We start from the raw sequence: 26,709 nt of genomic DNA, 5'->3' as shown, positions 1-26,709 counted from the left end.
AGTTTCACTCGTTGTCCAGGCTGGAGTGCAATGGTGTGATCTCAGCTCACTGCAACCTCTGCCTCCCAGGTTCAAGGATTCTCCTGTCTCAGCCTCCTGAGTAGCTGGGATTACAGACATGCGCCACCACACTTGGCTAATTTTTTAATTTTTAGTAGAGACAGTGTTTCACCATGTTGTTCAGGCTGGTCTCAAACTCCTGACCTCAGGTGATCCACCTGCCTCGGCCTCCCAAAACGTTGGAATTACAGGCATTAAGCCACCATGCCCGGCCCATGCATTACTTAAAAAAATTTTTTTTGAGACACGGTCTCTGTCACCCAGGCTGGAGTACAGTGATGTGATCTCAGCTCACTGCAACCTCTGCCTGTCAGGTTCAAGTGATTCTCCTGCCTCAGCCTCCCAAATAGCTGAGATTACAAGCATGTGCCACCACACCCAGCTAATTTTTTGTATTTTTGGTAGAGATGGGGGTCTGACTGTGTTGCCCAGGCTAGTCTCAAACTCCTGAGCTCAACTGATTCACCCGCCTCAGCCTCCCAAGGTGGTGGGATTACAGGCGTGAGCCACCACACCTGGCAAGGATGTGCATTACTTTTATAATACTGGCTCGTTATAAGAATTCAAAACAGAATTGGCTATCCACTTTACATATTTTACAACATGGCCACCTAAAAGTGTCCTTTTAGATATGCAGAAAAAGTAGAAAGGCAGGATTCAGTCAAAAGATGAATCTGAGTTATTAGTATTTTGGAAGGAAATTCCTTTCTCAGGCCTTTACCATCATATAATACAACCAATGTGAGAAATGAAAGGAATAGGGCATGTGGATTTAGCAAGCTACTATACAAATAAGGGTTAATATTTCTAGGTTCTATTTCCATGTCTTAGGCAGCATTATGGCCTTGGTGTTTTCAGAGGGACTAAATGTAATCAGCATAAAACTATTTTGCAGGTTCTGAAGTAGTCACACCAATGTAAAAAATCAACATTTACTTTTTTTTTGAGACAGTCTCACTCTGTTGCCCGGGCTGGAGTGCAGTGGCACGATATCGCCTCACTGCAATCTCTGCTTCACAGGCTCAAGTAATTCTCGTGCCTCAGCCTCCCAAGTAGCTGGGATTACAGGCACCTGCCAACACACCTAGCTAATTTTTTTATTTTTAGTAGCAATGGAGTTTCACCAGGTTGGCCAGGCTGTTCTCAAACTCCCGACCTCAGGTGATCTGCCCACCTCGGCCTCTCAGAGTGCTGGAATTACAGGCATGAGCCACCACATCTGGCCAACATTCACTCTTAAGCCTTTCTAAATTATTCCAATATTACAAGGACAAATGCTAATCTGATGAGTTTCAATCTACGTTGAATGAATGCTAAAGTTGAATGAAATGCTAAACTGATGAGTTTCAATCTATGTTGACTGTTTCATCACAGTAACATAAATGAAGTTTTTATTTTTCATAAATGAAATGTAATGATGTTAACAGTGGATTGGAAAATCTTCTGGAAGTTTTTGGGTTTTTTTTTCAAGACAGAGTCTGGAGAGCAGTTGTAGCGCCCAGGCTGGAGAGCAGTGGCACCACCTCAGCTCATTGCAACCTCTGCTTTCCAGGTTCAAGTGATCCTCTCACCTCAGCCTGAGTAGCTGGGACTACGGGTGCGTGCCACCACGTCTGGCTAATTTTTTGTAGAGATAAGGTCTCATCATGTTGCCCAGGCTGGTCTCGAACTCCTGGGTTCAAGTGATCCACCCGCCCTGGCCTCCCAAAATGTTGGGATTATAGGTGTGAGCCACCATGCCATGTTTTTAATGCATTTTAAAATTATGTTAAAAGAAAATTCTTACAAAGATATTTTAAGATTACATCACAGCAAGCAACTGTTTAATTGGGACAAAGAAGATACACTAAAAGCCAAATGAATTACTGTAATTAAATTTGTACAGTTTATTGACTTTTTTTTCCTTTTTATTTATTTGAGATGGAGTTTTGCTCTTGTCACCCAGGCTGGAGGGCAATGGAGCGATCTTGGCTCACTGCAACCTCCCCCTCCCAGGTTCAAGTGATTCTCCTGCCTTAGCCTCCCGAGTAGCTGGGATTACAGGCACCCACTACCACGCCTGACTAATTTTTGTGTTTTTAGTGGAGACAGGATTTCACCATGTTGGCCAGGCTGGTCTCGAACTCCTGACCTCAGGTGATCCACCCGCCTTGGCCTCCTAAAGTGCTGGGATTACAGGCGTGAGCCACTATGCCTGGCTATTGACATTTTTTTTTTTAAGCAAAGAGGTGGGGCACATCCACTGCAGTCCAGGCATTCTGGCACCACCTCTGTTATTAACTGGAATCAAATTTTAAAAATTTCTGTGATCTTGAAGGTCTTGTTGAAGTTTTAGAGGTCTTTTGTTTTTCTTTTAGCCACTAGATTTTTCAGGAAAAATTCACCTATTTAGGAAAAAGGAAAACACATTAATATCAATTTAAAGTAAATAACAGTGAGACAACTATTTCAGAATTATATTTTTGGTGTTCCCCCTTTAAAGAAGACTTTTGTATTTATTGGCACTTCTCTCTTCTCAAACCTCAATGGCAATATTTTTCTAACCTAAATATCCCCTATTATCTTTGGCCTTTCTCCCCAGCAATAATGACTAGAGTCTCCTACTATTATTCTTTCTAGTAAGCCAATATTACAAAGGGTGACCCTACTGTATATATGGGTCTGCACATTAATTCTACTTTATGTGCACTATCTATCCCTCATCACTGTCAAAGTATTGCTCTTGGCAAAATTCATTTCCAAGAGCAATTTTGCTACATTATTAGGCTGGATCTGATGTTTATAAAACAGATCTCGTTGCAGCTGAGCAGACGCATCTGATGGAATCTCTTTAGCTTATTCCCCTCTAGGGAAGCAAGAGCTCTTCATTTGTAATGGGCTTTCTCCCCACCGCCTGAGTTGTGCCTACGCAATAAGTTAGCAGCTTAGAGGGCACATTCTCTTTTTAGGCCATTAGTGTTCCATTTAGTCTATTGCTCTTACAGCATGACTCAATGCTTATTGGTAGAGTGCAGCACTAGAGGCCTGATTTTATGAGGAGTCTGATTAACTTCTCTTTGTCATCTTACATATGAGTAGAACTGTGATGAGTCTATCTACATATAATCTCTGCAAATCCCAAGGCTCATAACCCAGCCAAGTAATCCATGCTGCTCCATACCTCCTCCAAATGTCGTGGGAGTAGCACCAACTTTATCAGACCCTAATCCATCATTTTAGTCTAATGCTCATCATATACCAGAATCTGATCTTTTCCTGGTAATTTAGAAAGCATCAGAAAGTTCATAATTTACTTCCTTTTATGTTAGAAATTTTTCTTTAGCAAAAGAAAAACTCCTTTCAAAGGACATTACTCTAACCATTCTAGAAGCTGATAGTGGTTCTATCCTTCACATGTATTTTTAGCTTGCCAGCAGTGCTGCTTGAAGACTAAATCACTTACAATTACTGGTTTTCAAAGTCCCCACATTCTGTCACTCAGTGCTGAATCAAATTCTTGGGTTTTCAAACTATGATGAGCTACTAGTTCATTAAAATGTTTTAAATTACTATTTTTATTTATTTATTTTTGAGACGGGGTCTCATTCTGTCACCCAGGCTGGAGTGCAGTGGCACGATCACAGCTCACTGCAGCCTCAACCTCCTGGGCTCAGGTGATCCTCCCACCTCAACCTCCTGGGTAGCTAGAACTAGAGGTGCCCACCACCACCCAGCAACTCAGCCACCCAGCTAATTTTTGTATTTTTGTAGAGATGGGGTTTTGCCATGTTGCCCAGGCTGGTCTTGAACTCCTGGGCTCAAGTGATCCACCCGCCTCGGCCTCCCAAAGTGCTAGGAGTACAGGCGTGAGCCACTGCACCCGGCCTTAAATGTCTTTATAGGAACTAGGAACATACAGAATATTACTAATACTGGAGCATTAATTTTTTCAAATAGAATTTGTCTAATTTAAACATATTTAAGATTTAGACCCCAATATATAAAGCAATCATTTAAAACATCACCACTTTAGATAAAAAAAAAAAATACCTAGTTTATTTATTTATTTACTTATTTATTTATTTTTGAGACAGAGTCTTGCTCTGTTGCCCAGACTGGAGTGCAGTGGCATGATCTTGGCTCACCACAACCTCTGTCTCTCGGGTTCAAGCAATTTTCCTGCCTCAGCCTCCCAAGTAGCTGGGACTACAGGCACACACCACCATGCCCGGCTAATTTTTGTATATATATTTTTTCTTTTGGAGACAGAGTGTTGCTCTTTCGCCAGGCTGGAGTGGAGTGGCAGGATCTTGGCTCACTGCAACCTCTGCCTCCCAGGTTCAAGCTATTCTCTTGCCTCAGCCTCCCGAGTAGCTGGGACTACAGGTGCGCAGCACCATGCCCAGCTAATTTTTGTATTTTTAGTAGAGATGGGGTTTCACCATGTTGGCCAGGATGATCTCAATCTCTTGACCTTGTGATCTGCCCACCTCGGCCTCCCAAAGTGTTGGGATTTCAGGCATTAGCCACCACGCCTGGCCAATACCTAGTTTATTTTTAAAGAGACAAGGTCAGCCGGGTGCGGTGGCTCACACCTGTAATCCCAGCACTTTGGGAGGCCCAGGTGGGCGGATCACAAGGTCAGGAGATCGAGGTCATCCTGGCTAACACGGTGAAACCCCGTCTCTACTAAAAATACAAAAAATTAGCCAGGCGTGGTGGCGGGCACCTGTAGTCCCAGCTACTCAGGAGGCTGAGGCAGGAGAATGCCGTGAACCTGAGAGGCAGAGGTTGCAGTGAGTCAAGATTGTGCCACTGCACTCCAGCCTGGGCGATGGAGAGAGACTGCATCTAAAAAAAAAATAATAATAATAAAATAAAAAATAAAGAGATGAGATCTCACAATGTTGCTCAGGCTGTATTTGAACTCCTGGGCCCATGCGATCCTCCTGCCTCGGTCTCCCAAGAAGTTGGGACTATAGGCACACACCACCACACCTGGCCTAGCTGTTTCTTTTTTTTATTTTATTTTTGAGACACAGTGTCTTGCTCTGTCACCCAGGCTGGAGCTGTAGTGACACGATCATAGCTCACTGCATCCTTGAACTCCTAGGCTCAAGTAATCCAACTGCCTTCCAAAGTGCTGGGATTACAGGCATGAGCCACCTTGCCTGGCCTATTTATTCTTTTTTTTTTTTTTTTTTTGAGACAGAGTCTTGCTCTGTTGCCCAGGCTGGAGTGCAGTGGCACAATCTCGGCTCACTGCAAGCTCGGCCTCCTGGGTTCATGCCATTCTGCTGCCTCAGCCTCCCGAGTAGCTGGGACTGCAGGTGCCCGCCACCATGCCCGGCTAATTTTTTTGTATTTTTAGTGGAGAGGGTTTCACCGTGTTAGCCAGGATGGTCTCGATCTCCTGACCTCGTGATTTGCCCGCCTCAGCCTCCCAAAGTGCTGGGATTACAGGTGTGAGCCACCCCACCTGGCCAGCCAATTTATTCTTAATCATTATAATTGTTAAGTCCAACTGACAGGGACATCATAAACACTTTCTAGATTAAATTCGGTCTTCAGATATGTTCTTTTGGATCCTCCGACAATCATTATCACATGACTTTTTATCCCTTGGAAAATGATTTTCTTTTCATAAATCAATTCAAGCTATTGATTAAAATAAGAGCTGAAATTCCAAAAGTAAAAAAAATTTGCATTGTAGCTAGTAAAACAACTAAACGTTCCTACGGAGAAAAATAATCTTATGGATATTTTTCTGTTGCCTCTGGGGGAAAAATACAAAGAAATTTAATGATGCAAGCAATGCTATCAAATAAGATACTTTTCAGTGCTTAAACTGATTGAAACTGAGTCTGGAGATGCAGCTGGCATCATTTCCAAATAAATATGTATTTCTCAGAAAACCCTATTAGATGCTTGACATGCTCTGTCATTTCTGAATAACCTACTACTGAAATCTACACATAGAAAAAATTAATAAACTAATTGTTTCTGCTTTTACTATAGTAGCTGAGTTACAAAGCAGGGGGCTGAATTTGTTTAAGAAACAAAAGATTAAGAGAAACTTTTCTTAATATGATCCCCATGGAGCAAAGCTCCTAAGGATGTTCCAGAAGAAAAACTACGCCCTCTACCAAGACCACCAAAGGTATTAGAATTTGTCAAGAGTTTTAGTGACTGGTGGTAGAACTTAATGTGGAAAGTTAACGGCCTAAATGAAACCATGCCCCACAATCTAACTTACCTGCTTTATATGAAGAACGCACCAAAGGGCCACTTGCAGTATAATGAAATCCAAGTTCATTTCCTACTTTTTCCCAGTATTTGAATTTTTCAGGAGTAATATATTCTTCAACCTAGATTTAAATAATTACTTCTGATCAGATTTTAGAATTCCACTTTGATTCTGCAGAAAGTCTATACCTATGTATGCAGAATGCTCTTCACTGCGTAATTTATCTTGCCCCCACCCCCAGGCTTTTGTCCTCTCCCTCCTCCCTGACTACGTGTTTACTGGTTACTTTTTGGCCACTCTATTGGGATGTAAATACAGGGAATTACAGAGACAGGGAAGCATATCAATTTTGTGCTACAATGGCTATTCCAAAGGACAGAGAAAGAAGAGATTATCTACAGATATTATTTATCTATATTTTTCCTTCGTTAACAGCTAAATTCAAGAATTACTCATGCTTATCTGATTCTTGAGGACAAGACTGTCTTACTCAACTTGTATCTTCTGCTTAGCACTGTGACTGGCACATGGTCACTGCTCAACACAAGCTTCTTGAATGAATGGATAAATGTCCATGATAGAAATAGAAAGAATGGTTTCCCATTCTTTCTTCGCCTCTGGCTCTAACATAACAAAAACAAGTTACACAATAACCAAGTGTAAATGAGTGCCATTTCCCAACTTTTAAATTCTTTTTCTCTAGGTTCACTTGAGTTGTGAAATTTGTGAAGAGAATGGGGGAGGCAGCAAATATGTGCAAACGTAGCTGATTTATGTAGATAATAAAATGAAAACTGGGACTTATAAGAATACAGCTGAGCCTTGAACAACATGGTAACTGCACAGGCCCACTTATACAAGGATTTTCTTCCATTTCTGCCACCCCTGAGACAGCATGACTAACTCCTCCTCTTCTCCCTTGTCCTCATCTACATGAAGATGATGAGGATGAAGACCTTTATGATGGTCCACTTCCACTTAATGACTAGTAAATATATTTTCTTTTCCTTATGATTTTCTTCAAAAAATTTTTTCTCTAGCTGACTTTATCATAAGAATAAGATGTGTATATATGTGTGTGTGTGTGTGTGTGTGTATATGTGTGTGTGTATATACAGATATACACACACACATACGTATATATATAAGTACATGTAACATACAAAATGTGTGTTAATTGACTGTTATTGGTATGGCTTCCGGTCAACAGAAGGCTATTAGTAGTTATGTTTTTTTGGGAGTCAAAAGCTATACATGGGCTGGGCGCAGTGGCTCACACCTGTAATCCCAGCACTTTGGAAGGCTGAGGCGGGTGGATCACCTAAGGTCAGGAGTTCAAGACTAGCCTGGCCAAAATGATGAAACCCCATCTCTATTAAAAATATAAAAAATTGGCTGGGTGCGGTGGCTCACGCCTGTAATCCTAGCGCTTTGGGAGGCCGAAGCGGGTGGATTGCCTGAGCTCTCAGGAGTTCGAGACCAGCCTGGGCAACATGGCAAAATCTTGTCTCTAAAACTACAAAAAAATTAGTCGGGTGTGGTAGTGTGTGCCTGTAATCCCAGCTACTCAGGAGGCTGAAGCATGAAAATCATTTGAACCTGGGAGGTGGAGGTTGCAGTGAGCCGAGATTGCCCCACTGCACTCCAGCCTGGGCGACAGAGCGAGACTCCGTCTCAAAAAAAAAAAAAAAAAAAAAAAAAAATTATATATATGTATATTTTAGCCGGATGTAGTGGCACCCGCCTGTAGTCCCAGCTGCTCAGGAGGGTGAGGCAGGAGAATCACCTGAACCCAGGAAGCAGAGATTACAGTGAGCCGAGATTGTGCCACTACACTCCAGCTCAGGCGACAAGAGCAAAACTCCATCTTTAAAAATAAAAAAAAAAAAAAAAAGCAAATCAAGATACATGTACCTTAAGGTGACGCCTTGTTGGCTGCATATATTGTCCTAAAGTCAAGCAGTCTACATCTGCCTCACGAAGTGCTGTAGGAAGAAAAGCACAAATTACATTAGCAAATACTTTAATTGTAGATCTAAGCATAATTTTCCTAAGGAATATTTAAAAACGGTGTGAACTTTATGACAGTCCATAATCTTCATGTTGGGGAATAAGACAACATCTATTCATTCAAAAGTATTATGTGCCAGGGACTGTGGTAAGGACTGAAAACAATAATAATTAAGACAGTCATGTAGGGCTGATACATACAAGGATAAATACTTCTAATACTATGGAATCAATGCTAAAATAGTAGTGGAGGGTATTTTAGAGTAGGAGTCTGGTAGAAAAGGTATGGGAAATGGTATATGCAAAAACCTCAATGCACCTATATTATAGAGCAAATATGTTGCATTAGGCTTTTACTCAATGCACAAGATATGCTATGGGGGCTGTGATTTAAACTATGACATATCAGAATCTTTCTAATAAACTGTGTGCAATGTGGTAAACAGCAGGTCTTGATTATTATATGAACTTATTACTCTTTGAACCACTAAATAACTACAAGTAGTCCAAGGGTCCTCAGCTAAAATTAAAACTTTGAAATTCCAAAGTTTAAAAAGTCCAAGAATCACAAAGCAAATGGACTTACGGGACTAAAGTTCAGCAAAGTCCAAAGCACACCATGTTATGTGACAATGCTACAAGTAAGCTCTTTCTCAGAGGCCTGGATTAGTCTCATTGATCTATGAACTGTCAGTGCCTGGTACCAGGCTGGCTCTCCAAAAGTGTCCAATGATAGAATGAGAAAAGTGGATGAAATCATGCTTTCAGTGGATGCAAAGGATGGGGAATAAAATGGGATATAAATTTTGTATCCTGAGCGTCATGCATATCACTCCATGAAATTCCAAGAAAATTTATTTCCTTTGCTTTTTTTTTTTTAACTTGTATTTTAGATTTGAGGGTGCATGTGCAAGTTGGTTTCCTTTTCATGCTGCCATCTATAACCATATACTTTTCTTTGTTCTTAGAAGGGCCTTCAAAGTGAGTGGGTTCCTGCTATTACTCAAATTACATGGGAAAGATTTTTCATTTTTCAATTTCTTTACCTTTCATTGTTGCATATACTTGCTCATCATTCTCGCCTAAACCCAACATTATAGATGTTTTAGAAATAACATCAGGCTGAACCTTCTTGGCATGTTTCAGTACACGTAGGGACTGATCAAAATTGGCCCGAGGATCACGAACCTTACTGGAAAACAGCAGGACTGTTGTCAGCAAGAATTACAAGTTCAACCAAGTACATAGTTATGCAAGCAACCTGAAAGACCAGAGAAGTACATTCTGCACATTATCTTAAATCACATAGTTCAAAGGTAGCATTTATGCACAGATGCCTGTTAATTTAGGAAAGAAAAGGCCTCACTGGGCTCCCTAGTTCTATCTCAAGCCTGGGGCAGAGAAAAGTAGAATGGAAGAAATTACTTCAGTTTATGCATTGAGAAACCAGAATTCTGAAGCGAAAAATTAGAAGAGAAAGGAAAAAAAGCAGAAGTAAGAGAGTCTCCATACTGAACAAAGAAAAAAATAAGCTGAACCCACATGTCAGAGGGTTGAAACTTTCAAGTTCATTTCTTTTCTGAAGACTAAGCTGCCCTCTGCTGGTAAGTATACAACACTGCCACATATTAGGTAAAGAAATGCATGATTCTGGAATTTTCACTGGAAAGGATCATGTTTTTAAGTGAAACCAGGGAAACTGGCACCCACTGGTGGTGGTATCATGATGAGGTTGGAACAGGCTGTGTCCTAGACTTCAACAATGGCCAAACCACCATGGCTTAAATGACTTATCCTTTAAGCCAAAAGGCCAGAAAGCTTCTGATGTTAAACTGGATTTCATTTCAATTCTAATGCAGCTTTATTTTCTGTAATTGTTTTTCATTGGAGACTAGTTAACAGGAAAGAGAAGAAACAAATTTATGAACTTAAAAGTAACTGAAACTGACATTATAGAAATCACTTTTTAACAGAATTTCTCCACTGAAATTAAGTTATGGTCTCTACTGTTTATGATTTAGTGAAAATGGTGGTTATTGTTTACTGTAACTTCTTTCAGGCTCTATGACACAGATCATATGTAGAAGCTAATAAAATCACTGCTAAATGCTAAAATTAAAGAAAAAAATGATATTACTCTTGCCCGAAGCTTAAAATGTTCATTTTTCTAAAATTTGAATGGATGTGGATAACAATCCTTACTTTTTTTCTTACATCAGTGTTACTTGCCAATGATTAGTCTTAATTACTGAAATTATTAGGAATAAGAAAGCATAGTGTCTACTTTTTTTAAAAAGTACATCTGAATGATATGAGTTTTTTTCTTTTTTTTTTTTTTTGAGACAAAGTTTTGCTGTCGCCCAGGATGGAGTACCATGGCACTATCTCGGCTCACCGCAACCTTCGCCTCCCGGGTTCAAGCAATTCTCCTGCCTCAGCCTCCAGAGTAGCTGGAATTACAGGTCTGCACCTAGCTAAAATTTTTTGTATATTTAGTAGAGATGGGGTTTCATCATGTTGGCCAGACTGGTCTTGAACTCCCAACCTCAGGTAATCCGCCCGCCTCGGCCTCCCAAAGTGCTAGGATTATAGGCGTGAGCCACGAGTTTTTCTTCTGCATCATTTATTACACATATTAGTGCTGAATATATATATATAAATATATATGAATATATATAATATAAAAAAATATATATATATATATATATTTTTTTTTTCCTTTCTCTTTCTAGATGGAGTTTCGCTCTTTTTGCCCAAGCTGGAGTGCAATGGCGCAATCTCACCTCACTGCAACCTCCGCCTCCCGAGTTCAAGTGATTCTTCTCCTGCTTCAGCCTACCGAGTAGCTGGGATTACAGGCATGTGCCACCACGCCTGGCTATCTTGTATTTTTAGTAGAGACGGGGTTTCTCCATGTTGGTCAGGCTGGTCTCGAACTCCCAACCTCAGGTAATCTGCCTGCCTCTGCCTCCCAAAGTGCTGAGATTACAGGCGTGAGCCACAGCATCCAGCCAAATATATTTTTGAAGTCTTTTCTTTAGAATTACAACCAAAGCAATTGCTCTAGTGTAATTTTTTCCCTCCTTTGAAAACTTTATTTGTGGGGAGGGGGAAACAAACAACTTATTGAAATTTGCAGTATGATATTATTTTAAAACAAAAGAAAAAAGATGTTAATTATTTGTGGGTATTAAAACACACACAGTAACTTAGTAATATGAGTTACTAACATCTTAATGTTTGTAATATAAAAATTAAGTATATTATAAATATAAAAATACAAATATGTAGTATAAATATAGTGTTTATAATATAAACACTAAGGTGTTAGTAACTGATATTGCTGGGTGGAAATACTATTATGGGTGATATTTATGCTGATTTTGTTGGTGATATTTTCTGATTTTTATGTAAGAGACATAGATTGAGTTTGCCTAAAAAACAAAAAAGAATAGAGTTTACTTTGTAAAAGTCAATGGCAAAGTTCAGCCCTGGAAAAGGCAAGAATATATGGCATATTTTGACCCGCCTAACTTCCCAACATTACTTTGTACACGTATTCACCTCTGTAATTCCGGGACTGTTTCTACATTATGTGCATACACATCTAATCCTGACAGAGCAACTTTTTCTATTGCTTTGAGATCACCTCGAAAATCAGGAGTAAGACACTCCACAAGGATTTTTGGATTCCTAAGGGGAAAAGAGAGAATTATCAAACAGAGAGAAAGAACTGACATACCTGTTCCTCAAAATAGAAATTATCAGTAATCGTTCAGTATGCTTCAACACAGTAACCTTTAGAACTTTGTCAAGAAAAGTATGAACATACAGATGTTCATACATGAACCATTATTAAAAAAAAAAAAGCAGACCGTTAAATACTATGTACACAGTGGTTAAAACACACCTGTAGGCAAACTGAATAAAATTTCAAATTATATATAGTAGACTTTTAAACCTAATTTAAGTAGGTTTTAGAAAAAGTAAATAATTGCAAGAAACTAAAATATGAAATATTAAAACATTAAATATAAAACTTTACTCATTGGAAAGTAAATTGAAGTATTTCTTATATAAATGTGAGTATTATTTGATTGCTTTAATTTTGATTTCTTTAAAAAGTCATCAAATCATGCTCTCCTCCCTTCCTCTAGGCAAATATTTCACAAGTGCTACGGGTTTTAAAAACTATTTTCTGGGTTGCTGAGTCATGAGCTTTGTTAAACGAAGTACGAGCTAAACATTAATCTTCCTATTTATATTGTGGCTATATCTATTCATCCAAGTATTATAATGTGAACTGGGTCACAGAGCTGTTCCCTTTGACACCAGCAAAAACGACTGAAACAGCTGACACATTTTTTCACAAACCCACTGGCAAAGTGTCTGGAGTTGTTCCCTGAAAGAACAGATGTAGAAAAGACCACATGTACACCCTTATCATGAATATAAGAGATATTCAAAGAACATATCCTATAATTTTTTTTTTTTAAATAAAAACAGGGTCTTGCTCTGTTGCCCAGTGCATCATAGCTCACTGTAACTTTAAACTCCTGGGCTCACGCAATCCTTCTGCCTCAGCCTCCCAAGCAGGTAGGACTATGGGCACATGCTACCACATCCAGCTATTTTTTTTTTTTAATTTATTTTTTGTAGAGACAGCATCTCCCTATGTTGCCCAGGCTGGTCTTGAACGCCTGTCCTCAAGCAATCTTCCTGCTTTGGCCTCCCAAAGTGCTAGAACTACAGGCGTGAACCACTGTGCTTGGTTCTATTGCTTTTTTAAACTGAAAGCTGAGACCCACTGAAGCTTGTAAAATAAACCTAGTGGATTGCAAACAGATTTTTCAAAAATGAACTATAGTAAATAGAAAATAGAAAATACTAGGGAATCATTTAAAAAATTTACTAAGTGCGCTTAGGTGCCAAACTAGTACTGAGCTGTAGAAAATTAGAATAATCTCAGCACTTTGGGAGGGCGAGGCAGGAGTATTGGTTGAGGTCAGGAGTTTGAGACCAGCCTGGGGAACATAGCAAGATTCCGTCTCTAAAAAAAAATGTAAAAACATTAGCCAAGCGTGGTAGTGTACCTGTAGTCCCAGCTACTTGGGAGGCTGAGGCAGAAGGATTGCTTGAGCCCAGAAGTTTGAGGCTGCAGTGAGCTATGATCATCAGGCCGCTGCACTCCAGCCTAGATGACAAAGCAAGACTGTCTCTTAAAAGAAAAAACAAAACAAACCCAAAAAAACAGGCCGGGCGTGATGGCTCAGGCCTGTAATCCCGCACTTTGGTAGGCTCAGGTGGGTGGATCAATTGAGGTCAGGAGTTTGAGACCATCCTGGCCAACATGGTCAAACCCTATCTCTACTAAAAGTACAAAAATTAGCTGAGCTTGGTGGCGTGGGCCTCTAATCCCAGCTACTCGGGAGGCTGAGGCAGGATAAATGCTTGAACTGGGAGGCAGAGGTTGCAGTGAGATGGTGCCATGCACTCTAGCCTGGGCAAAAGAGCGAGACTCCATCTCAAAAAAAAAAAAAAATCATTACTAAGAAGACCAGGTTTATACTTTTTAAAGAAAATTATTCAAAGTTTAGACTAATGCTCTAATATGAGGGAGGGATTCTATGGGCTAAAGGTCTATGGGTAAGTTCATGTCACTGAGCCCCTAAAATTCTCTGCAAATATGTATCTGTACATACAAATATGCTTTTTCCAAAGAAATGTGTACATAATTTCCAGTGAATTATCAGAAAACTATGAAACTCCTCAAAAAGTGAATAATCCCTGTTTCAAGGTAATGAACTTAAACTTAACTCATATGGGTCCAAAAAGGTCCTTAAATTACACAAATGCAAAAATAAGTACCTTTCCTTTAAATATGATACGGTCTTTGCAATGTGTTCAGCTCCCCCATCAGGCATATCTAGAAACAAAAGAATCCACTGCTCAGGATGATGTCATCATTTAGAGCCAGTTTCTGGTAGAGGCCATGATGACACACTAACCATCTCGATCCACAGATGTCAGGACAACATAATCCAGACCCCATTCTGCAATTGCCTTTGCAGTATTGTAGGGCTCACTGGCATCCAGTGGAGGAGGATTTCTTGCAGTCTTAACAGAACAAAATCTGCAACCTCTTGTACATGTGTCACCCATCAACTAGAATAGAAATGTTACAATTTAAATGAAATAGACAGATGACCCTTAAGGACATAATGTTGAGAGAATAAAGCAAGTTGCAAAGAATGCATACAGTTTGGTTCTGTTTATAAGAAATTTGAAACATTCAAAACTAAATGATAGTCAAGGAACATAAATATATGTGATAAAACTAAAAAGGGAAATAATAAACTCAGCAATAAGAATAGTGTTCAGGGGAAAGGGGATGGGATCAGGAAAGGACGCAAAATTTAAATTTAAAAACAAAGCAGGGTGCAGTGGCTTGCTCCTGTAATCCCAGCTACTCTGGAAGCTGAGGTGAGAGGATTGTTAAGAGTCTGAGACCAGCATGGGCAACACGGTGAGACCCTGTCTCTAAAAATTAGCTAGTGTAGTGGCATGTACCTGTAGCCTCAGGTATTTAGGGAGGCTGAGATAGGAGGATTACTTGAGCCTAGGAGTTCGAGGCTGCAGTGAGCTATGACTGTGCCACTGCACTCCAGCCTGGGTGACAGAGTGAGACCCCCATTTCTTAAAACAAAATAGAAACACAACTGAAAAATGGGATTCTAATATACAGTTTAGGGGGTACAGAGGGGTATTCAAAGATAATGCTAACGTTTTAATCTCAAACTGGAGGTATGAGGGTGTCTGTTGTGTTATTCTTTATAACTTACACAGTTTATAAGATACTTTTTTTTTTTTTTTTTGAAACAGGGTCTTGCTCTGTAGTCTAGGCTGGGACGCAGTGGCATGATCATGTCTTACTGCAGCCTCAACCTGTTGGGCTCAAGTGATCCTCCCACCTCAGCCTCCTCAGAAGTTGGGTATACAGGCAAGTGCCACCATGCCCAGCTAATTTTTAAAAACTTTTTTTTTGTATGGACAAGGTTTTACCATGTTGCCCAGCTGGTCTTGAACTCCTGGGTTCAAATGATCTGCCTGCCTTGGCCTCCCAAAATGCTGAGCTTACAGGCATGAGCCACTGCACCCGGCCTATGAAGATACTTTTATATCTATTCAATAATAAAAAAAGATGATTTTAAAAGACATAAAATATATGACAGATCAATGTACAGGTCTCTATGGATGTAAAAACAGAAAGCACAGCTCCTTCTTGTTGAATATGTTAAACAGAAAACACATAAAAAGCTAAGCAATCATGAATAATGTTTCCAAACATTGATAGGAGAGGTATCTCAAGGCAGCACGTGATTAACTATCACATAAATGAAAGAACCAATAATAGATTTATTCAGAGAAGGGTGAGATTACAACAGGTTGGATTATTCCATCAGGTTTTTTCTTAATATTTTTCATAAATGCAAATGTAATGAAAAATCTGACCAGAGATTCATAATGCACATTTTTAGGAGGAAGACACAAAATAGTCCCTTTCAGTTTCTAGACTAAAGCCATAGAGGTTGAGGCTGGCCCTACCATGATCGTGGCTGTGGCGGTGGCATATTCTCCACCTCCCCAACACTCTCCAATATTGGGACATCGAGCTTCCTCACATACCTGTATGCAAAAGGAAATGGAACACCATTAGGTTGACAATATCCACCAACTAAACAGTTGGTGACTGTGATTAGACATTTTAAACTTCTCATTGTTTACAACATATTTTTGAAGACATTCACTATTCAAAAATGCTGTTAAGACCAAGTGCGCTGGCTCATGCCTGTAATTCCAGCACTTTGGGAAGCTGAGGCAGGAGGATTGCTTGAGCCCAGGAGTCTGGAACCAGTCTGGGCAACATAGTGAAATCCTGCCTCTACAAAAAATCAAAGTTAGTCAGGCGTGGTAATGTGCACCTATACTCCCAGCTACTCAGAAGGCTGAGGAGAGAGGATCACTTGAGCCTGGGAGGTCAAGGCAATTGTACCACAGCACTCCAGCATAGACAACAGAGCAATGCCCTGTCTTCAAAAAAAAAAAAAAAAGGCTGTTAAACTGCCCAACTCTATATTAAGATTAGAGTGTAGTGAGCATGTCCTATAGAGGTGTACTCCCTTACATAATTATGTAAGAATGGACAGACTTGAATTTTTATTTTTTAAGATGGAGTCTCACTGTCGTCCAGGCTGGAGTGCAGTGGTGCCATCTCAGCTCACTGCAATCTCCACCTCCCAAGCTCAAGTGATTCTCCAGCCTCAGACTTCCAAGTAGCTGGGACTACAGGCTCACGCCACCACGCCCAGCTAATTTTTTTTGTATTTTATTAGAGACGGGGTTTCACCATGTTGGCCAGGCTGGTCTTGAACTCCTGACCTCAGGTGATCCTCCCACCTCGGCCTTCCGAAGTACTGGAATTATAGGTGTGAGCCACCGCACCTGGCCAAAATCCAATTTTTAAATTAAAAACTTTACGAATGTATATACTTCATATGTGCAAATAAAAAAGTCTGAAAGATTATATACTGAAGAGTTAAAGGTAAAGGAGTATGGTTTATATATGGCATTGCGTATGTGACATACCTTCATATTTAATTTTATATTCTTTCCAACAAATCATATATCTAATTTGCAATATAAAACAAACAAAGCCTTGTTTCCAAACTCGTAGGGCAAAAAATCTCTTTGTTTGCCGGAAAAATGATTCTAAATATATTTCCATTCCTGGTAGTAATGTATCACTTAACATATTTACTTTCTTTGCTATTATTTATATATTTATTAATAATTTTTAAGTTATATAAACGTAGAAACATGGCTTTTGGTGAAGAGGGATAGTTTACACTTTGACAACTTACTGTATGGAGATTTAAATTCCGCAAAGTATTTTTCAGTTTATTGTAATTTTTCCCCATGGGAATCTCTGTCTTTAGCCATGGAGGTAGTCTTAACCTAAGGAAAGCCAAACATAACTATCTATTAACAAATATGCTGCCAAATAATTACACAGCTTTGAAGTTAATTTCTTCTATTACAATTCCTAGTTAATAATTTTTTCTATAACCTTAGAATAACTCTTATAATTTCTGTCATAGGAGTAAGAACACAGAATCAAATTTAGCCTTGCTCAAACCACTTTAGAAAACACCAATAATGGCCGGATGTGGTGGCTCATGCCTGTAATCCCAGCACTTTGGGAGGCCGAGGTGGGCGGATCACAAGGTCAGGAGTTCGAGACTAGTTTGGCCAATATGGTGAAGCCCTGTCTCTACTAAAAATACAAAAATTAGCCGGGCGTGGTGGCAGGCGCCTGTAGTCCCAGCTACTTGGGAGGCTTAGGCAGAAGAATCCCTTGAACCCAGGAGGCGGAGCTTGCAGTGAGCCAAGATTGTGCCACTGCACTCCAACCTGGGTGACAGAGCAAGACTGTCTCAAGAACAAACAAACAAAAAGAAAACACCAATAATGGAGTGTAACAGGGCGCTATACTCACGTCTACCTTTTTTGCAAAGGCAGAGTTACACTATTCTAATAAGAGAATGAGCAAGTTTTCAAATATCTCATCCCTCATGAATGATACTGCCAAAAAGTACTCTACTTGTTTAGACTGAGGAAAGATCACAACTGTGCACTGTCTGCTCTACATTCTAGATTTTATAGTGGTTACTCAATGGAAAAAAGATCTAAAATTTGGACTGGAGACTGTGTATCCTTGGTTCTCCATGACTTCCATCCACTTGTGATATAGAAGGAGCAGGATTAAGTTATCTTTCAACTCAATCTACCTTCTACATAAAATTCCATCATTCTTTTAAATTAAGGCAAGGTATCCATAGGTCACATGTAAATTGACTAGGAGAAGCACAAGTTAGATCATCAACAGCTACTAACCCAGATCTAACAGACTAGTAGCAAAGCAGTAATCTTTACTCTGAAGAAGTTGGATGCTGGGTAGAAAATGGGGAGATGGCAGTGTAACATAGTAAGGGCAAGAGAAAAGAGAAAGATTCCAAAAATTTCATCTGCTTACTTGTTCTATCTAGTTCTGTTATCACATCTTTCTAATGATTTTTAGCTAAATTTAACAAGTCTGATATTAAAAACAGATTCTAGGGCTTGGTTATATCTGAAAATAATGCACAATAAAGGAACGGGACGTTAAAATTATCTCAAATTTTCAATTACCTTTCTCCTTTCTGGCGTTTTAGGTTTCCTTTATATTCATCCCAGGTGCTCCTGTCTGCAAGATCACCAGATACAAAATCTTGAAGGTCTGGTCCATTCTGTAGGAGTTCCTTTTTTTTATCTGGCAAGGAGCTTAACGGTCTGACTGGGCTGCAAAAATATCTCCCAAATACCTAAAGAAAGAGTTAATTATGACGTTTATTTAGTGGAGTCCGTAATAATTTAGTTTTAACCCATCATAACACCTAAACGGAAGGGTAAAGCCAAAAAAGTGATTCAGAAATTATGTCAAACTAGGAGCTCTAGTATTCTAGGGCATTAGAATATAAAAGATGACTGAAGGAACCAAACCTAAAAGAGAGTAAGAGTTGACTGTTTACTACTGAGTTTAGAATAGATTTGGAAATCTGTTTTTTTTTTTTTTTTTTTGAGACGGAGTCTTGCTCTGTTGCCCAGGCTGGAGTGCAGTGGCGCAATCTTGGCTCACCGCAAGCTCCGCCTCCCGGGTTCACGCCATTCTCCTGCCTCAGCCTCCTGAGTAGCTGGGACTACAGGCGCCCGCCACCACGCCCGGCTAATTTTTTTGTATTTTTAGTAGAGACAGGGTTTCACCATGTTAGCCAGGATGGTCTCGATCTCCTGACCTCAGGTGATCCACCTGCCTCGGCCTCCCAAAGTGCTGGGATTACAGGCGTAAGCCACCGCACCCGGCCCGAAAATCTCTGGAACTAACATATATCACACTTTCATGTACTCCACCTACCAGGAACTAGATGTTTGTCTTTCAACAAGATTGAACTGCAATAACTGAAGAAGGTGCCACAGTTTAAAACTGTTCTGGTCCTGACTTGAATCAGGGGCGTTTAAAGTGAAGTGTGCAATAAATCTCTCGAGCTTTGAATAATTGTTGAAACGTAGGTTAATAATGCCCAATTAGTTTCAGACAACTGGAAGGTTAAAACCAAGCCTAACGTTTTTACTTTCTTTTTCTTTTTTTTTTTTTGAGATGGAGTCTCGCTCTGTCGCCCAGGTTGGAGTGCAGTTGCGCGATCTCGGCTCACTGCAACCTCCGCCTCGCGGGTTCAAGCGATTCTCCTGCCTCAGCCTGGCGAGTAGCTGGGACTACAGGCGCACGCCACCACGCTCAGCTAATTTTTGTATTTTTAATAGAGGCGGGGTTTCACCATGTTGGCCAGGATGAACGTTTTTACTTTCTAGGTTACATTGTTTCTGTGTTTGAACGTGGCAGTCAAGAACATAAGAAATCATGGTATTCGGCTTTTACATCTGAACACAAACGTGTATGAGATAGCCAAAACACTACAAAATCCACGAGTCTGCACATGTATCTCAAAAGAACCTTCGACAACTCAAAGAGTGCCTGTTAGGGTGTTGCACGATTGCTACTGCACTTCTCAATGTCTGCCGCTGAAGCCTAGCGGACAGGTTTGTGTTCTCTGCGGCTAGAGTGGTGTCTCACACACAGTAAGAGTCCAAGACAGAATAGCTATGTGGGGTGCTCACTGCAGTGCTCCATAAATATAGGGTACAAACCACTCTAAGCAGAAAATAAGTCCTCGGTGCTGGCCCAGAGAGACTTGCAAACAAACTGATGCCAGAGACTCTATATCATGGGGCTGGCGGGATAATTACATGAGATTACACGAAAAACGTTTAAAACTGCCGTTGGCTAGTAGTAAATGTTCAGTAAATGCACTGGCCTTTATTATTGGGCATGGGCGCTCTGAAGGGATAGGATCCCCCCACCCCACGCCCAAACCCGTTCGCCCCGCCGCTCACCCGGGGCCCCAGGGTGCGGGCTGCATCCCCGCAGCGTAGAGACATTTCCTCTTTAGGACTAGCGCAGTGCAGGGGTTGAGGGATCGCTAACTCCCGGGAAAGGACAGGTCGAAATTACGTCGCTCCATTTATGACAAGCAGCCAAGCTGCTCCACGATTGGCTGCTTTAGCCTTACGTGCGTCGCGCACTCATGACGCAATACGCAGGCCCCTTACGCGATACAAGTACGTAATGACGACAGACGTTCTTTCTTTGCTGCGTCTACTGCGAGGTAAGGATGTTTCTGTGCTCGTGGGGGTACTGGGAATCTGAAACCATCTGCTCTGGGAAAGGCTGCGGCGCGGCTCCCACTCTCGGAACCTTGTCCTGTTTGTCCCCCAGCTCGGCAAGCGCCATATGAGCCTGGCGGCGCCAGATGCGAATCCTGTTGTGGGCTTTTTGGCCTATTCCCGCCCCTCAGTCTTGCCGGGATGGCACCGCCCGCATAGGACTTCCAGGGTTGGGCTGAGTGGGAGTTCGACTGCTGGGCCTCGTAATTCTCGCTTTGGGGCTGCTCCTTCCAGGCTGGGACACACTGGGGCCCGCTGTCGGTCTCCCGTCCTCCGACATCTTGTCTGGAACTTCCGCCTGGCAGTCTCCAGTAGGAGTGGAGCTCTGTGCGGCGTAGTTTGGTGGAAAAACGGGCCTTGCGTCGGCCTCACCCCCAGTGTTTGTGTTTCAGAATGAAGACTATTCTCAGCAATCAGACTGTCGACATTCCAGAAAATGGTATGAGACTTGATGTCTTTTACTTACATCTTTACTGCACGTTCCAAGCGTTGTGTGGCCTGACGAGTGTGTTCTCTCTTCTAGTCGACATTACTCTGAAGGGACGCACAGTTATCGTGAAGGGCCCCAGAGGAACCCTGCGGAGGGACTTCAATCACATCAATGTAGAACTCAGCCTTCTTGGAAAGAAAAAAAAGAGGGTGAGGGTTTTTCTTCTGATAATTCAGTTGCTCGTTGGAAGGTGGTTTATAACAGCATCACATTTGGTTGCTTTAACAATTTTCGAATTAAGGTTCAGTGCTTCAGCTTTAAATGTTGCTGTCCAGAATACCAGCCTGTTCAGTGAAATTGAAAAACCAGATTCTGAACACAGCCAATTATATAAAGCTCAAATGTAATAGTGGTCATCAGTGACACGTCTTAATGGTGTTAGAAGTTTGGTTTATTTTCCTAGTGATTGCTTTGTAAAAATCACAGGAACCGGCAGTAGGTCATTTAAACCTGATGATTTAATTTTCCAGAAGGGAAGTTTGTTGCAACTTCTACAAAGCTTAACTGTTGGGAGGTTTTATAGGTGGTTGGATTTTTCCAGTTGAAAACCATGTGCTTTGATAAGGGTTAATTCTAGAATCTTAAAGTAATTCGGTAAGTGGTCTGTTGTCTTTTAAGCCTGCATATTTCTGGAAAGAATACATTTTTTGTTCTGTTACAGCTCCGGGTTGACAAATGGTGGGGTAACAGAAAGGAACTGGCTACCGTTCGGACTATTTGTAGTCATGTACAGAACATGATCAAGGGTGTTACACTGGTAAGCAGATGTATCAGACTTCCTTGTTTTGGAAAGGGAGGTTTCTCAAACCTGTGCTTTATACAGCGTAAGTGTCTCTTTCAGAGAATGGGTCATGTATTTTATTTGGTGTAATACGCAAGAACTTGGCAAAAATAGGCATCTGTGGGTCTTTAAGCGATAGAGCTGAGAGCAAAGACCAGATGGGTACAACATGTTTGTTTTTTTCTGTTGTTGGGTTTTTTTTTTTTTTAATCAAGGCTGGGGTCTCGCTATTTTGTCCAGGCTGAGCTCAAGTGATCCTCCCACCTTGGCCTCCCATAGTACTGGGATTGCAGGCATGAGCCACCATGCATGGCTAGATGGGTACAACTTTTAAAAAGTAGGCTAATGATGAATTTTCATACCTTCCGAATTCTTTAAGATAGGAAATCTACAGTTGCAGTACTAGTTGGTAGTCACATCTCACCATCAGGACCCCTTGTTGGGATAGAAAAAGATGTAGTTTCTGAGTTTTCTGTCTGCTGCCATAATGTATGTCATTATTCTTTCCAACCCACCGTCTCTCCCCTCAAGATAAAAAGTTCATGCTGAAATGGTTTTCTTTGCATTATACCTTCTAGAATGCACCTGATAATGGCACCCTGTACATCTATTATAAATCTGTTAAGATTCCCCCATCTACCCTTGCTCTTAGCCTTAAGTTCCTTGAAGGCAGGGGGCCTGCCTTTGGCTTGGTGGTCTCAATTCCTGCCATGTGCTGTACCTTAGTAACTCAGTAAATGTTAGTCTAATGTCTAAGATCAGGGCTTTGGGGTTCTCATTAAAAGAAGGCAGCATTGTTCATTGAGGGCATAAGAGCTAGTGAAATAAAGCCTCCGCAAGGAGCTTTACAGTCCACTGAATAGACAGAACAATGTTTATAAGGCTTGGTTCAGGTGACAGTTATTAGAAAATCTTGGCAGTGAGTGTTACGTTTTAAAATAAGTATAAGCATCTTAGAAAATTTTAAAACTATTAAAAATATTCCTCAGCATTGCTAATAGCTTGCTTATTTATTTAACATAGGGCTTCCGTTACAAGATGAGGTCTGTGTATGCTCACTTCCCCATCAACGTTGTTATCCAGGAGAATGGGTCTCTTGTTGAAATCCGAAATTTCTTGGGTGAAAAATATATCCGCAGGGTTCGGATGAGACCAGGTATGTGCATACCCTCAGACAGAATTAAGAAATTTTTCCTTCATATTTTTTTCCTCCTTTTCCACTCCCAACTTCCATACTTTAGTTGGCTGTTGTTTTGTGTTTGTGCTGAGTAAAACCAGATTTGTTTTAGAATTATCTCTTGATTACACTTAAACTGTTGGTGCTACTTAAGGGTTTATATCATTATGTCGATTACAATTTCAGAAAGTTGATACATTGGAGTAGCTTGCAGTGGTGGTTGTATTTAACTTGGCAAATGAAATCTTTTAAAAAGACTTTAAATTTACAAAAGGTGTATATAATGGTGTGTATTTATGGAGCACAATGTGATGTTTCAACACATGCATATTCTGTGGAATGACTAAATCAGGCTAATTAACACATCCATCACTCCATTTATTTCTTCGTGGTAAGAACCTTTAAAATCTAAAGAGAAAACTACATGAGTAGTGGTTAATAGCCTAGCGTAAATTTCAGCTCTCACTGTCCACCTTGGGCATGTCATCTCTCTGCAGCTTAAAATTGCAAACATCTTTGATTAAATGAGTTAAAGTTGAAAAACAACAATGCATGCGTAATACATAGTAAACACAGTAGCTTTAAAAAAAATTTAAAGCTTAGTGCTTTTTATTTGAGGCAGGGTCTTGCTCTGTTGCCCAGGCTGGAGTACGGTGGCGTGATCTCAGCTCATTGCATCCTCCACCTTCGTGCTCAGGTGTTTCTCCCACCTCAGCCTCCCCACTAGCTGGCACTGCAGGTGCCTGCCACCACATCCAGCTGATTTTTGATTTTTTGTAGAGACTGTTTCGCCACGTTGCCCAGGCTGATTTCAAGGAATGCTATGGTGCCTGGCCCCAGCTAATTTTTAAGTTTTTTGTAGAGGCAGGGTCTTGCTATGTTGTCCAGGCTGGTCTTGAACTTGCAGGCTCAAGCAGTTCTTCCCCCTTGGCCTCTTAAAACATACCTGGCTCGGCCTCTTGATGCATTTTGATTCCATTGGGGTGGGGAGGGGTGGGAAGAAGGGAGATTCTTAGTATCAAAATAATGGCTGTCCAGAAATACTCTGATACTAGCTATGGTCAGCAACATTTAATGAAAACCCTTATGTTAAAAATAAACCCCTGCCTCCTGGCTTCAAGCGATTCTCCTGCCTCAGCCTCCTGAGTAGCTGGGAGTATAGGCACGTACCACCACACCCAGCTAATTTTTTGTATTTTTACTAGAGATGGGTTTCACAGTGTTAGCCAGGATGGTTTCGATCTCCTGACCTCATGATCCGCCCGCCTCGGCCTCCCAAAGTGCTGAGATTACAGGCGTGAGCCACTGTGCCCGGCCTCAAAATCTTAAGAAAAGGTTCTTTTGGTGCATGGAGTTTTACATGGAATAAATTAGTGCCTCTGCAATTTAAATATTTTTTACACAGATTTGATGCTGTGCAAATGCCCTCTCCCCTTTTAGGTGTTGCTTGTTCAGTATCTCAAGCCCAGAAAGATGAATTAATCCTTGAAGGAAATGACATTGAGCTTGTTTCAAATTCAGGTTTGTATGTTTACTATGTCTAACTATGCCTACAAGATTTTGTCTAAATCTTGTTTAAAATACAGTATTTTGCTAATTTTTATTTGATTAGCTTTTTAAATTGTGAAAATAAAAAGGTCACATTCTGAAATTTTAAGTACAGCACATAATGAAATACTTTCTTTTTAAGATGGGTTAGGCTGATGTATTAATTGCTTTATCTTCACTCCTATAGCGGCTTTGATTCAGCAAGCCACAACAGTTAAAAACAAGGATATCAGGAAATTTTTGGATGGTATCTATGTCTCTGAAAAAGGAACTGTTCAGCAGGCTGATGAATAAGATCTAAGAGGTAAGTTCTTACAGTGTCTTAAGTTTTATTACTGCTCTAGTTGAATGAAGCTCTTAATTTACTAAAAGACTTAAACTGAATTTGTAGTAATAGAAAATGGAGAGTTAAGCATTCTGGAACACAGTAAATTTGACAGAATAAAAGATGGAATTGGCATGCATTTTACTACGTATAGTTTACTATGAATCAGTAAGTCATAGTCTTGAGGTATGTTTTAGATTATTTAGAATAGTACAGAAAAAAGATTAGTACTTTCCTGGGCAAGTGTATTGATGGGGATTTACAGATTTTTTTTCTTTTTTTACAGTTACCTGGCTACAGAAAGAAGATGCCAGATGACACTTAAGACCTACTTGTGATATTTAAATGATGCAATAAAAGACCTATTGATTTGGACCTTCTTCTTAAACCGGTTATCCTTTTTAGCTAGTTTTTTTCCCTCGTGGAACAAGGAGCTTTAATCTGGTTCTTGAAGGAATAGCAAGGATATATTTTAGGCAAGAGGAATATTGTACCAGTGACAGGCAAACATGAGGCCATTCATCATTGCATATAGAACTTTAGGAATACCCTGAAAGTGTCTAAATTTGCTGAGGCATGAATTTGAATATTTGGTAAGGCAAATGTTGTCTTAGTCACTGGTGGAGAAACAGCTGAGGAGTAGAACAGAGTGATACAGCATCAGTTAGAATTAGAAGGTGTAGTTGGTTTGGTTCATGGTCTCAATAATCTTGTCCTTTACCTCAGCCATTTACTTCCATACCCTAGAACTTGTTTTTAAAAATTGATAACCCTTCCATAATCTCTTAATTCCATGTGTTATACTTTAAATATGGTACAAGGCCACCATAACTAGACTTAGGTCAACATGGTGACCCCCAAACCTTTGTGAATTCTACATCTCATTTGATGGAAACTGCAATTTCTAAGGCAAAATTTAACATTCATCCTTGATCAAATGCGTCAGGAAAACGTACTAAGTACCTTCATTGTAAGGTATGGTCAGGTACTTTATCAGAAAAAGTAAATATAAGGACAGAGGTCACGATCAGTTGGCATATATGTTATCTTGGATCTTACAATGTCTTACTCAGTTGCCCAGGCTGGAATACAGTGCCATAGTCATAGCTCTGTAACTTCAACCTACTGGACTCAAGCAATAATCCTACCTGCTTCAGCCTCCTTAGTAGCAAGGACTACAGGCAGGCACCGTCACATCTTTTTTTTTTTTTTTTTAAAGTATGGATGGGGTCTCATGTTTCCCAGGCTGGTCTTGAACTCCTGGCCTTAAGTGTTCCTCTTTGGCCTCCCAGAGGGCTGGAACTACAGGCATGGGTCACCATGCCCTATACGTCTTAGATCTGGATTCAAGTACACTAATTGAACATACATTAAGGAGTCTTGTTGTTTGATGACTATTTGGTTAGGTTTTTAAGAAATTTGGAGGAAATCATAAATCTCGGATTTGCTCAGAAATAACGGATGGGGTTGTAGGCGATGAATGGGATCAACGTGAAGTAAGATCACATCCTCGAAAGGTTGGGAAATATGGGTCCATTAGATACAAATTTTTTACAATGTAGAAAATGAAACAAAGACCTGCGAAGTTCACCTGGATTATTGTGACAGTCAACTGGTCATCTTCCTCTCCTGTCTATTTTCAGCATCAGCCAGGGTACTGATTTTGAAATGGATTATAGCACTGTTTCAAATCCTGCAACAGGTTTTTTTTCCC

General features: G+C 40.5%; 2 protein-coding genes across 8 annotated transcripts, besides 4 other annotated features; one reads left to right on the top strand and one right to left on the bottom strand.

Moving 5' to 3' along the window:
• On the bottom strand, positions 1–20,451 carry LIAS (lipoic acid synthetase). 6 transcript variants are annotated; one of them, NM_006859.4, is made up of 11 exons: positions 20,345–20,451; positions 18,545–18,717; positions 17,218–17,311; positions 15,902–15,982; positions 14,305–14,461; positions 14,165–14,222; positions 11,861–11,989; positions 9,343–9,488; positions 8,201–8,271; positions 6,296–6,407; positions 1–2,444 (listed from the first exon to the last, which is right to left on the bottom strand). In NM_006859.4, the coding sequence occupies exons 1-11, from the start codon at positions 20,387–20,389 to the stop codon at positions 2,392–2,394; spliced, it is 1,119 nt and encodes a 372-aa protein (NP_006850.2). In that variant the 5' UTR covers positions 20,390–20,451; the 3' UTR covers positions 1–2,391. The 6 variants fall into 6 exon arrangements, with proteins under 6 accessions (NP_006850.2, NP_919433.1, NP_001265519.1 ...); NM_194451.3 differs by lacking the exon at positions 6,296–6,407; NM_001278590.2 differs by lacking the exon at positions 11,861–11,989.
• Positions 19,924–19,973: an enhancer, noted in NCBI's record as "active region_21459". NCBI's record gives its function as "activates an Ori minimal core promoter by ATAC-STARR-seq in GM12878 lymphoblastoid cells {active_cell/tissue: GM12878}" and the evidence as "EXISTENCE:reporter gene assay evidence [ECO:0000049][PMID:35858748]".
• Positions 20,344–20,638: an enhancer, noted in NCBI's record as "tiled region #11886; HepG2 Activating DNase unmatched - State 1:Tss, and K562 Activating DNase matched - State 1:Tss". NCBI's record gives its function as "activates a minimal TATA promoter and a strong SV40 promoter by Sharpr-MPRA in HepG2 and K562 cells {active_cell/tissue: HepG2 | K562}" and the evidence as "EXISTENCE:reporter gene assay evidence [ECO:0000049][PMID:27701403]".
• Positions 20,354–20,403: a silencer, noted in NCBI's record as "silent region_15368". NCBI's record gives its function as "represses an Ori minimal core promoter by ATAC-STARR-seq in GM12878 lymphoblastoid cells {active_cell/tissue: GM12878}" and the evidence as "EXISTENCE:reporter gene assay evidence [ECO:0000049][PMID:35858748]".
• RPL9 (ribosomal protein L9) lies at positions 20,585–25,383 on the top strand. 2 transcript variants are annotated; one of them, NM_000661.5, is made up of 8 exons: positions 20,585–20,616; positions 21,067–21,113; positions 21,198–21,313; positions 21,826–21,921; positions 22,969–23,101; positions 24,563–24,643; positions 24,858–24,974; positions 25,282–25,383. In NM_000661.5, the coding sequence occupies exons 2-7, from the start codon at positions 21,068–21,070 to the stop codon at positions 24,962–24,964; spliced, it is 579 nt and encodes a 192-aa protein (NP_000652.2). In that variant the 5' UTR covers positions 20,585–20,616; position 21,067; the 3' UTR covers positions 24,965–24,974; positions 25,282–25,383. The 2 variants fall into 2 exon arrangements, with proteins under 2 accessions (NP_000652.2, NP_001020092.1); NM_001024921.4 differs by having other exon boundaries at positions 20,909–21,113.
• Positions 20,834–21,584: an enhancer, noted in NCBI's record as "NANOG-H3K27ac-H3K4me1 hESC enhancer chr4:39459543-39460293 (GRCh37/hg19 assembly coordinates)". NCBI's record gives its function as "activates a minimal SCP1, AML or CMV promoter by ChIP-STARR-seq in primed H9 embryonic stem cells {active_cell/tissue: H9 hESC(primed)}" and the evidence as "EXISTENCE:reporter gene assay evidence [ECO:0000049][PMID:30033119]".

The sequence above is a fragment of the Homo sapiens genome, chromosome 4, assembly GCF_000001405.40.
Source record: "Homo sapiens chromosome 4, GRCh38.p14 Primary Assembly".
Classification (NCBI taxonomy): Eukaryota; Metazoa; Chordata; class Mammalia; order Primates; family Hominidae; genus Homo; species Homo sapiens.
Note: the sequence above shows the minus strand (reverse complement) of the source record. Positions and strands in the feature narration are given on the sequence as shown.

Bases quoted from the DNA above. Each gene is read 5' to 3' on its own strand.
- LIAS (NM_006859.4), bottom strand. From the start codon at position 20,389: ATGTCTCTACGCTGCGGGGATGCAGCCCGCACCCTGGGGCCCCGG. The intron at 17,312-18,544 runs GTAATTGAAAAT...GGCTTTCCTTAG, and splicing joins AAACGCCAGAAAGGAGAAAG to GTTAAGACTACCTCCATGGC. The intron at 2,445-6,295 runs GTAAGTTAGATT...TTTCCTAAATAG, and splicing joins GCGTTCTTCATATAAAGCAG to GTGAATTTTTCCTGAAAAAT.
- RPL9 (NM_000661.5), top strand. From the start codon at position 21,068: ATGAAGACTATTCTCAGCAATCAGACTGTCGACATTCCAGAAAATG. The intron at 21,114-21,197 runs GTATGAGACTTG...TCTCTCTTCTAG, and splicing joins TGTCGACATTCCAGAAAATG to TCGACATTACTCTGAAGGGA. The intron at 23,102-24,562 runs GTATGTGCATAC...CTCCCCTTTTAG, and splicing joins CAGGGTTCGGATGAGACCAG to GTGTTGCTTGTTCAGTATCT.